Below are 15,375 nucleotides of genomic sequence, written 5' to 3' on the forward strand. Positions count from 1 at the left end.
TGAAGCCCTGACTTGTGCAAAGCATATGAGGCACTTGGTTCTGTAATACTGTAAAGCAGGTCTCCACCTGCATTTCAGGCTCTTTAGTCTCGACCCGTAACATTTCTCCACTTACACTTTATTTACCTGTACTGAGCTACAGGCAATTCCATAGCAGACTTCTCTGTGCCTTTGCACATGCTGTTCCTTTGTAGCGTGTCCTCTACGCGAACTCTGCTACTGATAATTAAGCATCTTGTTCTGGATTCTGATTTAAACTTTGCCAGATGATCCCAAGAAGATGCTGTTCAAGGGACATTTTACATTTCTATTTAATACTAGCTGCCATTTACTGAATGCTATCTGTTGTGTGCATGTTATATACATTATCAGTAATCCTCACAGCAATTCTACAAGGTAGTAATTTTTCTCATTTACAAGTGATGAATGAGACTCAGAATCTATTGACAATTTGTTCATCTTTATACACTTCATGAAGAATTAAGTTCGGATTCAAACCCATTTTCCGTCTAATTTCACTATGCTTTTTCTATCTCACATTATCTGCACATTATTAATGTCGAGAAACTGAAATGTGTCAGAAAGTAAATGACTGTCATTAAGAGCATGTGTTAACAGCATAAGGTCTGGCACTAAATAAGAACTCAAGTAAATGACACAGCAGGATAAGTGGGAAATGCCCCAGATAGTCACATTTAAAGGTTGCTAGTTTGAAATTTGCAAATGCTTCCCTGCTGTCAGAGTTAGGTTTCCTACAGCTGTAAGATAGCTGCTACTCAACCTACAGCAGATGCCCGTGACATTGTGTGTTCCTGGGTGTATCTCCCATCTAGCAACTCCAAACTGTGTATGCTGTAGTTTGTGTTCCTGGAACTACTATCTTCAGGAGAAGCTTCAGTTATAAATAGTAATTGGAGTGAAGAGATGAGTTCTGTTTAGGGGAGATCCATTAACTTTCAACAAGGGAGGACAGGGACTTTTTCAATAGGAATTGCAATAACATGGTTTGTTTTTGAAAATGCAATAGACTGTGGATTAAATAGCTATTGCACACAAAGAAGAAAATAAAGTTATAATCTCCAGCATGAGATCTGGATTTACATATGCTCTGTTAGCTGCAAGAATTTGGGCAAGCTATTTAATTTCCATAAATTTAGGTATCCTTAAGATACCCACTGCTTAGAGTTATTGTGAGAATTAATTGAGGTAAGAAAACTGAGGCTCAGGTTGTCATTTGCTCAAATCACACAGCAAAACCGTGATAGAATGCAGATTCAAACTGGGATATTAACATTCCAAAGCCTTTACAGTTATTGACTACTATTCAGCACTGCCTTCAATATATGCTGATGACTGCACACAGGAGTTAGAAATGCCCACTGTCACTTGCCTGCCTTGAGCGGTTTCTTGTTTGTATAAATAATCCAAAATACTTGGTTGTGTTGTAAGAAGCACCGTGTTTTGTGAGACATTTCAAAGGTACCACAAATAGGAAAGATTTCATTCTAGAATGAATAGAGCACATATTTAGTATCTACGTGCTGTTTGGTTAATTTTAGTTATTTGGTCATGCTTTTAAAATCTATTTTTATAGTATATATTTTCTTTTATAGCATATCAGAATTATCTTTAGATTCAACTCTTCATGCCGTCAATCTTCATTGCAATAACATCTCCAAGATCGAAGCCATTGATCATATTTGGAATTTACAACATCTAGATCTGTCATCTAATCAAATAAGTAGAATTGAAGGACTAAACACACTGACAAAACTGTGCACATTAAATTTGTCCTGCAATTTGATTACAAAAGTAGAAGGTTTGTAAGTGATTTTCATTTAACACTTAGCGTAAGGAAAATGATTTAGGTCCATTTTTTTCCCCAAAAGAATGGAATAAATATCAGAAACTCTTAAAAATTGAGTCTGAAACTCATTATACAAAATATTTTCTCCAAAAAAGTGTCAATTTTTTAAAAATTCTGTTTTTTCTAAATGCCAATAAAATTGATTTCGCTGTTACCAGACTGGATTTACTTCAGAACAGTCTGAAATAACATTGTAATGCTATATCTCTGTAATTAATTATTTAAATTTTATAAAGGCTTTATTTTATTTTACTTTTTTTTTTTAGGACTTGAAGAACTAATTAATCTGACTAGACTAAATGTATCTTATAACCACATAGATGATCTTAGTGGTAAGTAGAAATGCTTATGTTTTCTGTATGCTAAATGTTGTGCCACATGTGATAAGTTAACAGCTCAGCTAAACATGTTGGAAATCTCTGAATATTAATCTAATTTTTAGCCAAAGAGCTCATCTAGAGAGCGTATTCCAGTCATGATTCTATTTTGTTGGTACCAAAACCACAGCTGAGTACAAAATAGAAGTTAAAACCAAGGTAATCAGTAGCAGGAAAAACTTAATTGGAAAGGATCCAGTTGAAGGGAATATGTTTTAATTTTAGCCAATTAATCAATGTACTGTTATATAGAGAAGAATAGTTCCAATAGAACTTTCCACAGTGGTAAAAATGTTCTAATCTGTGCTGTTCAATATGGCAGCCAGTAGCCAAATGTGGTTATTGAGCACTTGAAATGTAGCTAGTGCAACTTAAGGACTGAGTTTGTAATTTTATTTAATTTTAATTTGAAAATAAAAAGCCGCATGTAGCTAATGGCTACTGCCATGTTGAACAGTGACAATATGCTGCATTCCAAAGGTTGTTGCAAGTTAAGGAACAAATAAAATGAGATTTTCTTTTTATCTGTAATATAGCTAAGGAGATTTTAAAAGTGTTGCCTTTTTTAATTGATTAAAGTGATGTAGCTGATAAGTTGAACAAAGTTTCATGACTATTCCTAGAATTATCTGTTAAAACTCGCAGAATTCCTCTAATATCTTCATAATCCTTATCAATATTTGAAACAATCTGATTCATTTGTCGACTCTTCTCCCCCACTAAAAGAACACTACCCTATGCCAGTTGCTTAGTATACAAAAAATAAAAAGACCTAGTCTGTACCCTTAAGCTGAAGTAACAACTGTATTTCAATTTTTTAAAACCTTTTTTCCTCTTAAAGACATGAAGTATTAGAACTGAGTTTGTTTTTGCCGGGTGTGGTGTCTCACGCCTGTAATCCCAGCACTTTGAGAGGCCAAGGCAGGCGGATCACCTGAGATAGGGAGTTCAAAACCAGCCTGACCAACATGGAGAAACCCCGTCTCTACTAAAAATACAAGATTAGCCGGACATGGTGGCACATGCCTGTAATCCCAGCTACTCAGGAGGCTGAGAGGGGAGAATCACCTGAACCCAGGAGGCAGAGGTTGCAGTGAGCTGAGATCGCAGCATTGCACTCCAGCCTGGGCAACAAGAATGAAACTCCATCTCAAAACAACAAAAGGAACTGAGTTTCAACCCTGGCCTTGTCATTACTATGTAATGTTTAGCAAGGTGTTTACTGTTTAGATGCAATTTCCTTATCTAAAAAATGTGAATGGATAAGATAGTTAATTCTCTCAGTATGTATTTATGAAGATCACTATATGGAACAGTGTCTTATAGTGATGAAAAAACTAACAATAGGTAAGATAAGTCACAGGGCTTACATTATAGTGGGGAAGAAAAACAACCCCCAAAAAATCAGCAAAAGATTTGAACAGACACTTCACCAAGAATATATATAAATGGCAAATAAACCATGAAAAAAAATTGGTTGGAATCCTTAGTATTTAATGAAATGCAAATTAAAACCACAATGGGATACCGTTTCACACCTAGAATAGCTAAAATAGTGACAGTGCTGGTGAGATTGTGAAGCAGTTGAAACTCGCATACATTGTTGGTAGTTTTAAAATGGTACAACCACTTTGGGAAGGAGTTTTGTTTTTTTTTTTTTTTAATTTGAGGTAAAGTCTCGCTCTGGGGTGCAGTGGTGTGATCCTGGCTCACAGCAGCCTCTGCCTCCTGGGTTCCAGCGATTCTCCTGTCAGCCTCCTGAGTAGCTGGGACTACAGGCGTGTTCCACCATGCCCACCTAATTTTTTGTATTTTTAGTAGAGACGGGGTTTTGCCATGGTGGCCAGGCTGGTCTTGAACTCCTGGCCTCAAGTGATCTGCCCACCTCATCCTCCCAAAGTGCTGAGATTACAGTCTTGAGCCTGTACTGGCTATCACTGTGCCTGGCTGAGTTTGACAGTTTGTTATAATGATAAACATAACACTTAAATATAATTGTGCAGTCTGACTCTTAGGTATTTACCAAAGAGAAATTAAAATGTGGCCACTCAAAGACCTGTACATGAACGTTCGTATGATTACATAGCTTTTTATATGATTTTTCCATTTTGGAGAAAGTTCTGAGGCAGGAAGAGAAGCTGTAAGTGCTTGAAGGGTACACTGGCATTGTACAATTAGTACTTGTCCATGACAGCTGCAGCTGAAGTCCAAGGTGGGCCAGGCAGAAATAGCTACTGCTACAAAATGTTCTAGATAAGCTTGTGCGAGAAATATTACCAGGGAATTAAATGAATGCTAATGTATTTATTTTATATTCAAACCAGCAAAATTGAAGTGTACTACAGAGTTTGCTTATGTCTGCTAATCAAGACTGATGTGTCGAGAGAGCCTAAAGCCATTGCTTTATCCTTTTTCTCATATGAGTGTGTGCATCCACCTGGGGAAGTTCTTTTGATTCATTTTCTTTTGAAGAGAACCAGAGCCCAGGAACCTCAGGGACTAAAGCCTCAAAGAAATGTTAAACTTCTGTTTCTTCAAAGCAACAATTAACTTTACTGATAGCCTATTCATTAGATATAGCTGTTCACAGCAAGATCTAATGCTGCCCGTTTGCCTCTAAAAGTATAACCTATCTAGCAATTATTTCTAATTAGCTATTGGAAAGACTATTGCTGTGGCATTTAAAGAATTATGTTCCTATTGCAGGATTGATTCCCCTTCATGGAATTAAGCATAAACTTAGATATATTGATCTACATAGTAATCGTATAGATAGTATCCATCACTTACTTCAGTGTATGGTAGGATTGCACTTCCTGACCAATCTTATTTTGGAGAAAGATGGAGACGATAATCCTGTCTGTCGACTGCCAGGTATGAATAATTAATTTAATATTTTTTCTAACAGTTAATATTGAGAGCTTCTTTATTTTCCTGAAATTGGCATTCGTGACCTCATTTTAGTCTTCAGCTTTGCAACATTTTCTATATTGGGGAAAACATGGTTACAAATAAAATTAGTGTATTAAGACTAATGACTGTTACAGAACACAAGATGAACAGTTCAGTGATGCTCCTATTTAGGCAGTTTCATATTTGATAAGTGAATGCCTCAAAATTATATCATTATAGTATATTCTTTTAATAATAGTATAATACTATGCAGCCACAGGAAAGAATATAGAATCTCTTTTTCTACTAATGGACAATTATGTCCAAGATACATTAAGAGGAAGAAAAGCAGGTTGCAAAGTACTGCACACAGTAGGCCACCATTTGTGTGAAAAGGGTAACACACATACACAAACATTTACGTACATACATATATATGTATGCACGCATGTGTGTGTGTGCTCAGTATATACATAAAACATCTAGAAGAATATACACTTTAAAAAAATGTATAATGTTAGCTAACTCAAGGAAAGGGAACTAGGTAACTGGAGATTAAGAAATGAGAAAATTTTTTACTATGTTCCTTTCGAATTTCATATTATGTGAATTTATTACATTATTAATAAATGATTTTGTTTTAAGAAAGTTTAATATATAGAGATGCTGGTGCTGCTGAAATGCTATTTGAGCTAATTGGGAATCAATCAAGTTGACAAAGATAAAGCAGACCAGACTACCATTTCTAGAACTCACTTATCTCATATTGCTTAACCAAACAATAAGAGAAATGTGTAGAATGTGAATATACATTCTAAAGATCAGCTTGAGTACAAGTTAGCTACAGAGGCTTCATTTTATTATTCATATGCAACTATAAGAAGGCTTTTTGCAGCATGGAAACCTGTGTTGGTAATTTTATTTCACTGAAGAAAATCTGATACATTTGATAATTGTTTTCCTGAGGTGGAAAATATTTCCTATTCTTTTCCATAGTCTCCCTGAAAATCAGGACAGATTTGAAAGTTTTCTGAGGAAACCCTTTCCTTGAAAGAAAACCATATTTCTAAAGCCTTGCATTTTTCTTTTCTCTGCTAAACCCTCAAGTTGGATTTTTTTTTTTTAATAATCTTATCTCAAGAACCTCTGGTTTCTACAATTTGAATCTTTGTTTTTCACTTTTTTTCCTAAATTAGGTACTTCTCTCAATACAGTCACCCTCCCTTCAGAATTGAGAGGTAACTTATTGCTGAAATGACTTTTCTTCCCTCAAGATTTCTAATACTAATTTGCCAGACTTCTTTCTTACTTTCGGAATTCTTCCAACCACTTTGTTGGTCTTTATTAGAAATATACTTAGTTTTAAAATTACATTTACACAGGATTAAGGTGCTCCTGTTAGCCTTAGTACCAAATGAATGTTAATTTGTCAGATATGATTGTTCTTAGGGAAAATAAACATATTATTCTTGATTACTTGATAGTTCACCTGCTTTAATATTAGTTATGTGTAATTTAAAAGGGAAGAAGGGATATTCTGCTAATGCTGAGACCTCGCTAGGGAAATTCTGGCATTTTGGTCATTATCCACATCATCCTGCTTTAAGTTCATTTATGTTGTTTATATTAACCATATTAAAAAATAAAAGACATGTTTAGCTTCCTTCCTAGAATAAATTTCTACTAGTTTTATGCATTATATATTTAAAGTAATTTTTTAGAGATAGTTATTTTAACTTTTTGAACTTCATCAGGAGGGTTATTTGAGAGGGATGGAGAGTGGAGGAGAAGTGTTTTGTTTCTTTTGTATGTAAGGATTTAATGATTACATGCTGCAGAAGTTGAATAAGTAACAAGTTTATTATTTGCTTTCTGGAACTATTCCGGGTGATGTATCTGGTAGCTGATAAATTTAGTTTATTCTAGAAATAATTGACTTTTTTTAATATTTCAGTTTTCATTTTGAATGATTTGTTTCCAAGGGTACAGAGCAGTTATTCTCCAGACTTTGCCACAGCTTAGAATCCTAGATTGCAAGAACATATTTGGTGAACCAGTAAATTTGACAGAAATAAATTCATCACAGCTGCAGTGCCTAGAAGGTCTTTTGGATAATTTAGTTTCTTCTGATTCTCCCCTAAATATAAGTGAAGATGAGGTATAGTATTTACTTTTTTTTTCCTAATATAAAAAATACCTTCAAATTTCAATAAGTGAATATAAATTAAAAGGATTTTGGTTTGTTTCTGTGTCATAGATCATTGATAGAATGCCAGTGATAACAGCACCTATCGATGAGTTAGTTCCCTTGGAACAGTTTGCAAGTACACCAAGTGATGCTGTGTTGACGTCTTTTATGTCTGTGTGTCAATCTTCTGAGCCAGAGAAAAATAATCATGAAAACGATTTGCAGAATGAGATAAAACTTCAGAAATTAGATGACCAAATTCTACAACTTCTAAATGAAGTAACTATTTTTCCTACTTCTCTATAGACATGTTTATTGAAGAAAACATAGTTAAGAAAATGTAAAATAAAAATTATGTACTAGCTGACCAACCTATTTTAGTGCATCAGTGTTCGTGTATTTTTGTTTTCCTCTACAGAAATAGGGTTCTATTATTGCATAATGGTAGTAAAAGGTAACATAAATTTTTCACTCACTTTACTTGTCTTCCTTTACATCTTCATTATGTAATTTCTTTGTCTTGTTCTGCAGTACTTTACATTACTTCTATTACACCCAACTTTTATTTCCACCGTAAGCAAGGGAGAAACTCTTTGGACTCAGTGTTACTTAACGCAAAGGAATACTTTGGCCTCTACTATCTCTTCAGTGGTTTAATGGTCAAAATCACTTCTACAACTTATAGCTAAATGGCAGGTTAATTTACATAGTTCCTGTATCAATTTCATTTTCTAGTAGACCATCACCTAATCAATCTATACTTTCCTGAGCTGTTAATCCTTCTTTACCCTGCTACTGAATCTCTAGTTTTTAGAATCTGTGAACTATGTGTATGAACTACAATTCCTAGAATTTACTGCTATTCAGGTCTCCAACCCTCACTCCAGCATTCTCACTATCATCCACAGTGGCAGTGGTTCTCTTGGGTACCACTACTATCTGACTGCAATAGATTATTACTTTATTTGCCTTCTAGCTGGGTGTAGGATAGAAAGATAGTGGTATAGTTCAAAGAGGCTATTAGTCATATGTTAGTTCAACTTAAAAATTTTTAACTAAGTTATTGTTACTAATTTTTTTTTTTTAGAGTCAGGGTCTTACTCTGTCATCCAGGCTGGAGTATGGTGGCATGAACATAGCTCACTGCAGCCTCGAATTCCTGAGCCCAAGAATCTTCCCACCTCAGCCTCCTGCGTAGCTGGGACTACAGGCACATGCCACTGTGCCTAGCTAATTTTTAAATTCTTTGTGTGGAGACTGGGTCTCGCTTTGTTACCCAGGCTTTCTCAAACTCCTGGCTTCAAGTGATCCTCCCACCTCAGCCTCCTAAAATAGTGAGATTACAGGCAAGAGCCACCACGCCCAACCTCTATAACTAAATTTTCTTAGTCAAAATTTTTTCGCAAATTAGGAAGGGGGAAGGAGTGGAAAATGCTTATGAAATGGTTATGGTTCAGGAGGTTTTTAATCCTGAACTATTATTTATATAACATAATATTAATAATGCTGGATAAACAAGAGGTCTGCCTTAGGTGAGTGAAAGTCAATAAGGCTGTGAGGATTCTGTGTTTCAGAAATCCATAGAGATTTCAGTTTGAGCCAATAAGGAGATAGTAATAGAAGTGAGACAAGAATGCTGGCCTACATATTATTTGACATCATTGATACTGTATGGCTGGACTTTTGGACTCCTCCATTTCCTCAGGTTTCATCTTTTCATCTTTTCTAATGGCTGACTCTTCTACCAGTGAAAACTTAGATTGAAGTTTAATGTCTTTAATTTGAAGTGAACATTTCAGTTTCTCATAGGCTGATCTCATTTTATTCTCATGACAGCCCAATCAAGTAGATAGAGATTAATATATTATTGTCCTTGTTATTGAAAAGAAGATCCAGAGTTTAAATCATTTATTTAAAAGTACTTTATTTGCAAGATAGTTGAGCTCCAAATTCATATAGCTCCTTATGTCCAATCAAATTCTTCAACTATGTCATGCTTCTCACTTATGGTGCTAGTTCTTTCTACTTTGTTAACCAAAAACAGGAGTCTAGCTATCTGGAAAGAAAGGTGATTCACTGCTATGTATATTTAAAATGTTTAAGAAAATGACTTCTTGTTCACTGTCTTACTTGGGGTAAAGAGTAAACATGGAGTTTGAATTTCATTGAGCTGTTCGTACACTCAAATGATTTCATCTCGAGTATCAATTTATAAAGTCATAATATTACTGCAATGTGCTGTACTATAATAAAGACATTTATTTTCCTTAATCATGGGACTTAAAATCATAATTAACCCTGCCGAACTGGGAAATTTTATGTCTGTGAAAAGCTGTTTTGCCTTTATTTTAGTTTTTCTCCAACATTCTATTATGAGCATTTTTATTCTTCAGCAAACTTGAAAGAATTTCTTAGTGAACATCAGTATATCCACCAACCAGATTCTACCCTTAACATTTTACTACATTTATTTTGTCATGTAGCTATCTATTCGTGTATCAAACTATCTTATGACACATTTCAAAGTAAATTACACACATCAATACATTTCTTCCTAAATACTAAGCATGCATATCATTAATTAGAGTTAAATATTTTTTAGGTGTTTTCTTTAATGTGAAATACAGGTCTGCATATTTCCTGAATTGAGAATACATATATCTGTTATCCAAATTTCTGTGAAGGTTAACATTATCATGTTCCCTTATGGCCTCTCTGACAAGCAGTCCTCCACTGCCTCCAGAGGCAATCACTTTTCTTATTTTTTGTCTACCATATATTATTTAATATTTGTTTTAGAACCTAATATAAATAGAATCATTCAGTGTATACTCTTTTGTGTAGGGCTTCTTTCACTGAGCATAACCTTGTAAAAATTAATCCATGCTATTATGTATATCAGTAGTTCTTATTTCTATGTAGTATGCCATTCTATGAATATATTACACTTTATTTTTCCATTGTCTTGTTGAAGGTTTTAACCTAGCTTATAACCTGGGTTATTAGAGGTTTATGAGTAGAGCTGCAATGAATATTACTGTATAATCTTTTTGTAAACATGTATCTTTGTTTCTCTTCACTAAACAGCTATAAGTGCAGTTTCTGGGTTATAGGGTAGATGTATGTTGAGTTTTATAAGAAATTGATACCTTTTTTCAAAGTGGTTATTCTATTTTATTCCCACTAACAATGTATGGCTGTTCCAGTTTTTCTGCCACCTCACCAATATTTGGTGAGGTTAGCATTGCTTTTATTTTAGTCATTCTAGTGGGAGTATCCTGATGTTTGTTGTGATTTTAATCTGCATTTCACTAATGATTGGTTATGTTGGACAGTTTTTCATGTGTTTATTGAATATTTATTTATCTTCTATGAATGCCTGTTCAAAATTTTTGCCCATTTTTAAATTGGGTTGTTTATCCAGGTTGTAGGAATTTGTTGTATATGCTAGACACCAGTATTTTGTCAAATATATCTAGTGTGAATATTTTCTCCCTGTTTGTGGATCTCATATTCATTTCCTTACTGGTCTTTTGATAAGCAATAGTGTTTAATTTTGATAAAGTCCAATTTATCATTTTTTTCCCTTTCATGGTCATTGTTTTCTGCAACTTTAAAAACTTTTGTGCATACCAAAATAACATTCTCCTGTGTTAGCCTCTAAAAGTTTTAATGGTTTTACCTTTTGCATTTAGATCTGTATACATATATGGTTCACTCTTTTCCATATGGATTTTCAGTTATCTCAGTACCATTTGTAGAAAAGGCTCTTCTTTTCACTAAATTTCTTTAATGAATTTCTTGAAAAAAAAAATCAAATCAACTTACAAACTGTAAAATCTAGCTCTGGGTTCTTTTTTTCTTTGTCAGTTTGGGTAAGCTGTATTTTTCAGTTAATTTGTCCATTTCATCTCATTATCAGCATAAAATTGTTAATATTCCCTTATTATACTTTTAATTTCTATAGGATCTATAATGAAAATCTCTTTCATTACTGATATTGGCAATCTGTGTTTTCTCTATTTTTATTTGTTTGCCTTGATCAGTTTAGCAAGGGGTTTTGATGATCTTTTCAGAGAATAGACTTTTGGCTTTGTTAATTTGATTAATATTTGTTTTCTGTGTTCTTGATTTCTGGTTTTTATTTTTCCCCTCTACCGTGAATTTACTTTGCTGTTTGTTTTCTAGCACTTTTTTTTTTTTTTTAATACAGTCTTGCTCTGTCACCCAAGCTGGAGTACAGTGGCCTAATATCAGCTCACTACAACCTCCATGGCTCCTGGGTTCAAGCGATTCTTCTGCCTCAGCCTCCCGAATAGCTGGGATTACAGGCATGTGCTACCACACCCGGCTAATTTTTGTAATTTCAGTAGAGACAGGGTTTCTTTCACCGTGTTGCCCAGGCTGGTCTCGAACTCTTGGCCTCAAGCGATCCTCCTGCCTCTGCCTTCCAAAGTGCTGGGATTACAGGCATGAGGCACGGCCCCCAGCTGTAACGTCTTAATATAAGTACTTAGGTCATCGATTTTAGACATATCTCCTAATGTAACCTTTTAAAGCCGTAAACATTCCTCTGAGCACTGCTTTAGCTACATTCCACAAATTTTGGTATGTTTTGCTTTTGCTATTGTACAGTTAGAAATACTTTTCTAATTTCCTTTGTGATTTCTTCCTTGATCCAAGAAATATTTAGAAATGTCTTTTATTAATTTTTAAACCATTTGTCATTCTGTAGATATGTTATTGGTCCTTGATTTCTGATTTACTTCCATTTTGTTCAGAGAACATATTCTGAATAATTTCTGTCTTTTTAAATTTATTGAGTTTTTTTTTATAGCCTGGCATATGGTTTTTCTAGGTGGATATTCATTGTGCTCTTAAAAAGAATGTGTATTCTACAATTAAGTCAGGATGATTCATAGTATTTTCAGGTGAACCATGTCTTTACTCATTTTTTTGTGTCTGTTCTATCAGTTGCTGATGCTTGGTTTTTTGTTTGTAGAGGTGGGGGGGTTGATCTAGTTCTATCAATTGTGGCATGAAGAAGTGTTGAAATCTCTGTGGTTGTGGATTTGTGTTTCTCACTTTAGTTCTTTATTTGCTTCTTATGTTTGAAGCTCTGTTATTAAGCACATACACATTTATGACTGCTTGGTCTTTCGGATGAAGTTACTCTTTTATCATCATGAAATGTTCCTCTTTATCTAACAGCCTTATTGAGATACATTATTCACTTACCATGTGGTTCACCCATTTGAAGTGTGCAATTCAGTGGTACCTATTAGCAGTCATTACTCATTTCCTTCTACCTCCACCCTCAACCCTAAGCAACCACAAATCTATTTTCTTTCTCTATGGATTTGCCTATTTTGAACATTTCATATAAATGAAATCATAATATTTAGCCTTTTGTGACTAGCTTCTTTCACTTAGCATAATATTTTCAAGGTTCATCCATATTGTAGCATATATCAATACTTCATTTCTTTTTATTACCAAATAATTATTCCATTGTATGGATATACCACATTTTATTTATCCTTTTGTCAGTTGATAGACATCTGAGTAGCCTCTACTTTTGGTTATTATGATATTTCTATGAATATTTATGTATAAGTTTTTGTGTGGACATAGATTTTCATTTCTCTTGGCTATATCCCCAGAAGTAGAATTGCTGGGTCATATGTTTAACCTTTGGAGCAACTGCCAGACTTTCCAAAGTAACTGCGCCATTTTACATCTTCAGCAGCAGTATATGAAGGTTCAGTTTTTCCACATCCTTGCTATCTTGTTCTTATATGTCATTTTCATTGTAGCCATCCTAGTGGGTGTAAAGGCATATCTCATCCTGGCATCCATTTACTTTTAACCTGTTTGTGTCTTTATATTTAAATGGGTCTTGTGGACAGAAGAAAAGTGAGTCTTGTTTTTAAATCCCATCTGGCCATCACTTCTTTTGAAGAGTCTGTTAAAATTTACTGTAATTATTAATGAAGTTGGATTAGGGTCTACCATTTTATTGTTATTTGTTTTCTGTTTGTCTCTTTTATATTCATTTTTCTTCCTTTCCTACTTTCTGTTGGATAATTTTTAGAATTCAGTTTTTTTTGTTTTGTTTTTTGTTTTGTTTTGTTTTGTTTTGTTTTGTTTTTTGAGACGGAGTTTCATTCTTGTTGCCCAGGCTGGAATGCAATGGCGTGATCTCAGCTCACCGCAACCTCCACCTTCTGGGTTCAAGCAATTCTCCTGCCTCAGCATCCTGAGTAGCAGGGATTATAAGCATGTGCCACCACGCCCAGCTAATTTTGTATTTTTAGTAGAGATGGGGTTTCTCCATGTTGGTCAGGTTGGTCTTGAACTCCCAAGCTCAGGTGATCCACCTGCCTTGGCTTCCCGAAGTGGTGGGATAGAATTCAGTTTTAATTCATATGTTGGTTTTTTAGTCACAATTCTCTAGGTTTTGTTTTGGTCTGGATGCTCTAAAAAAAGACTTGAAACAGTCTACTTAGAGTTAATACTGTATCACTTCAAGTAAAATGTTTAAACATTATTTGTATTTATCTGTATATAAATCAACTTGTGATGCTCTTTATTTCTTCTTGAGGATTCAAATTTCCATCTGGTGTTATATTCCTTCAGCCAAGACTTCCAGCCTGAACTTCCTTTAGCAAATGTTGTAGCGTTACATCTGTGGATACTAGTCTGTTTCACCTTTATTCTTAATGGACTTTTTCACTGAATGTAGAATTCTCAATTGACAATTTTTTTTTCTTTCAGTACTGTGCCTGGCCTCCATAGTTTTGATTGCAAAGTTAACATGAATTCAAAATCCTTGATTTCTTGTATGTAATATGCCATTTTTCTTTGGCTACTGTCAAGAATTTGTCTCTCTTTGTTTACAGCAGTTTGACTGCATTGTGCCTAAGGATGGTTTTCTTTGTATTTATCCTGCTTGGGGTTTCTCTATGCTTCCTTAATCTGTAATTTTATGTTTTCACCTAATTTGGGAAATTTCTTCCAATATTTCTTCTGCTCCATTCTCTCTTCTCTTTTTCAGATTCCATGTAGACTTTTTGATATTGTCTCAAAATTCACTGAGGCTCTGTACATTTTGTCAATGTTTGTTTTTCTGTATTCTTCATATCAAATAACTTCCATTGAACTAGGTTCAGCTTCATGTACTCTTTCTTTATTGCCTCACTCTACTATTAATCTCAGTCAGTTTCTACTTCAGACATTGTATTTTTCAGTTATAGAATTTCTATTTTTAGTTCTATTTCTGAGCTGAGTTTTCTTGTTTTTTCATTTATGACAGGTGTATTTCTTATTATCTCATTGAACATCACTATTGGATCGCTATTTTAAAGTTCTTGTTTGCTTATTCAAACGTTTGAGTCATCTCAGGTTTGGTGTCCATTTTCTCTTGAGAATAGGTCATTTTCCTTGTTCTTCCTACGGCAAGCAATTTTGAAGTACGTCCTGGACATTGTGAATGTTTCGTTGTAGATACTCTAGATTTGGTTATAGTCCTTCAAAGAGTGTTGACATTTTTGTTTTAGTAAGCATTTAACTTGGTTTGACTCAGATTGTATGTTTTTCTCTTAGGTAGCAGTTCAAAGTTCATTTCATTTATTTTGTTCTTTGCTGGGCCACTTGCAGTCCACTTCATACTGCCCTCTGGTTCTTCAGGCCCAGAAGTCTGGTTTTTCCTACCTGAGGTTTAGACTCTCTGCATGATGCTGATTGTGATACATTCTCAGGCTAAAAACCATAAAAAAACAGAAACACTCTCATTCTGGTCCATTTTCCAAGTGTCAGCTCCCCTCTAGGATAATCCTAGTTTTGTTCACTTTATAAGGCCTTCAAGTAGTTTTTATTTTTGTTTTGTTTGTATTTTTTCCAGAGTTTATAATTATCTGCAGGAAAGTCAACATGGTAGAAGCTTGCTTGTCCATACCAGAAGCTGAATTCCCTGTCTTTAATATCAAACATTTCTAGTTTATAAACCCTTAATCATATAAAAAGATATAATATTTCAGAAGATTTCCAAT

At 34.4% G+C, this 15,375-nt stretch overlaps 1 protein-coding gene across 15 annotated transcripts in view; it reads left to right on the forward strand.

Moving 5' to 3' along the window:
- Nucleotides 1-15,375, forward strand: part of LRRCC1 (leucine rich repeat and coiled-coil centrosomal protein 1) — a 38,843-nt gene that overhangs the window by 744 nt on the left and 22,724 nt on the right. For 4 of the 15 annotated variants that reach the window (XM_017013921.2, XM_017013920.2, XM_017013922.2 and 1 more), the window contains exons 2-7: nt 1,614-1,819; nt 2,134-2,199; nt 4,951-5,118; nt 6,333-6,374; nt 7,119-7,294; nt 7,394-7,603. In XM_017013921.2, the coding sequence (XP_016869410.1) occupies nt 1,614-1,819; nt 2,134-2,199; nt 4,951-5,118; nt 6,333-6,374; nt 7,119-7,294; nt 7,394-7,603 (868 nt within the window). Of the gene's footprint in view, nt 1-1,613; nt 1,820-2,133; nt 2,200-4,950; nt 5,119-6,332; nt 6,375-7,118; nt 7,295-7,393; nt 7,604-15,375 lie in introns of those variants that run through there. The other 11 variants (XM_047422364.1, NM_033402.5, XM_047422365.1 and 8 more) reach the window with 6 other exon arrangements.

This window comes from Homo sapiens, chromosome 8, assembly GCF_000001405.40.
Source record: "Homo sapiens chromosome 8, GRCh38.p14 Primary Assembly".
Lineage (NCBI taxonomy): Eukaryota > Metazoa > Chordata > Mammalia > Primates > Hominidae > Homo > Homo sapiens.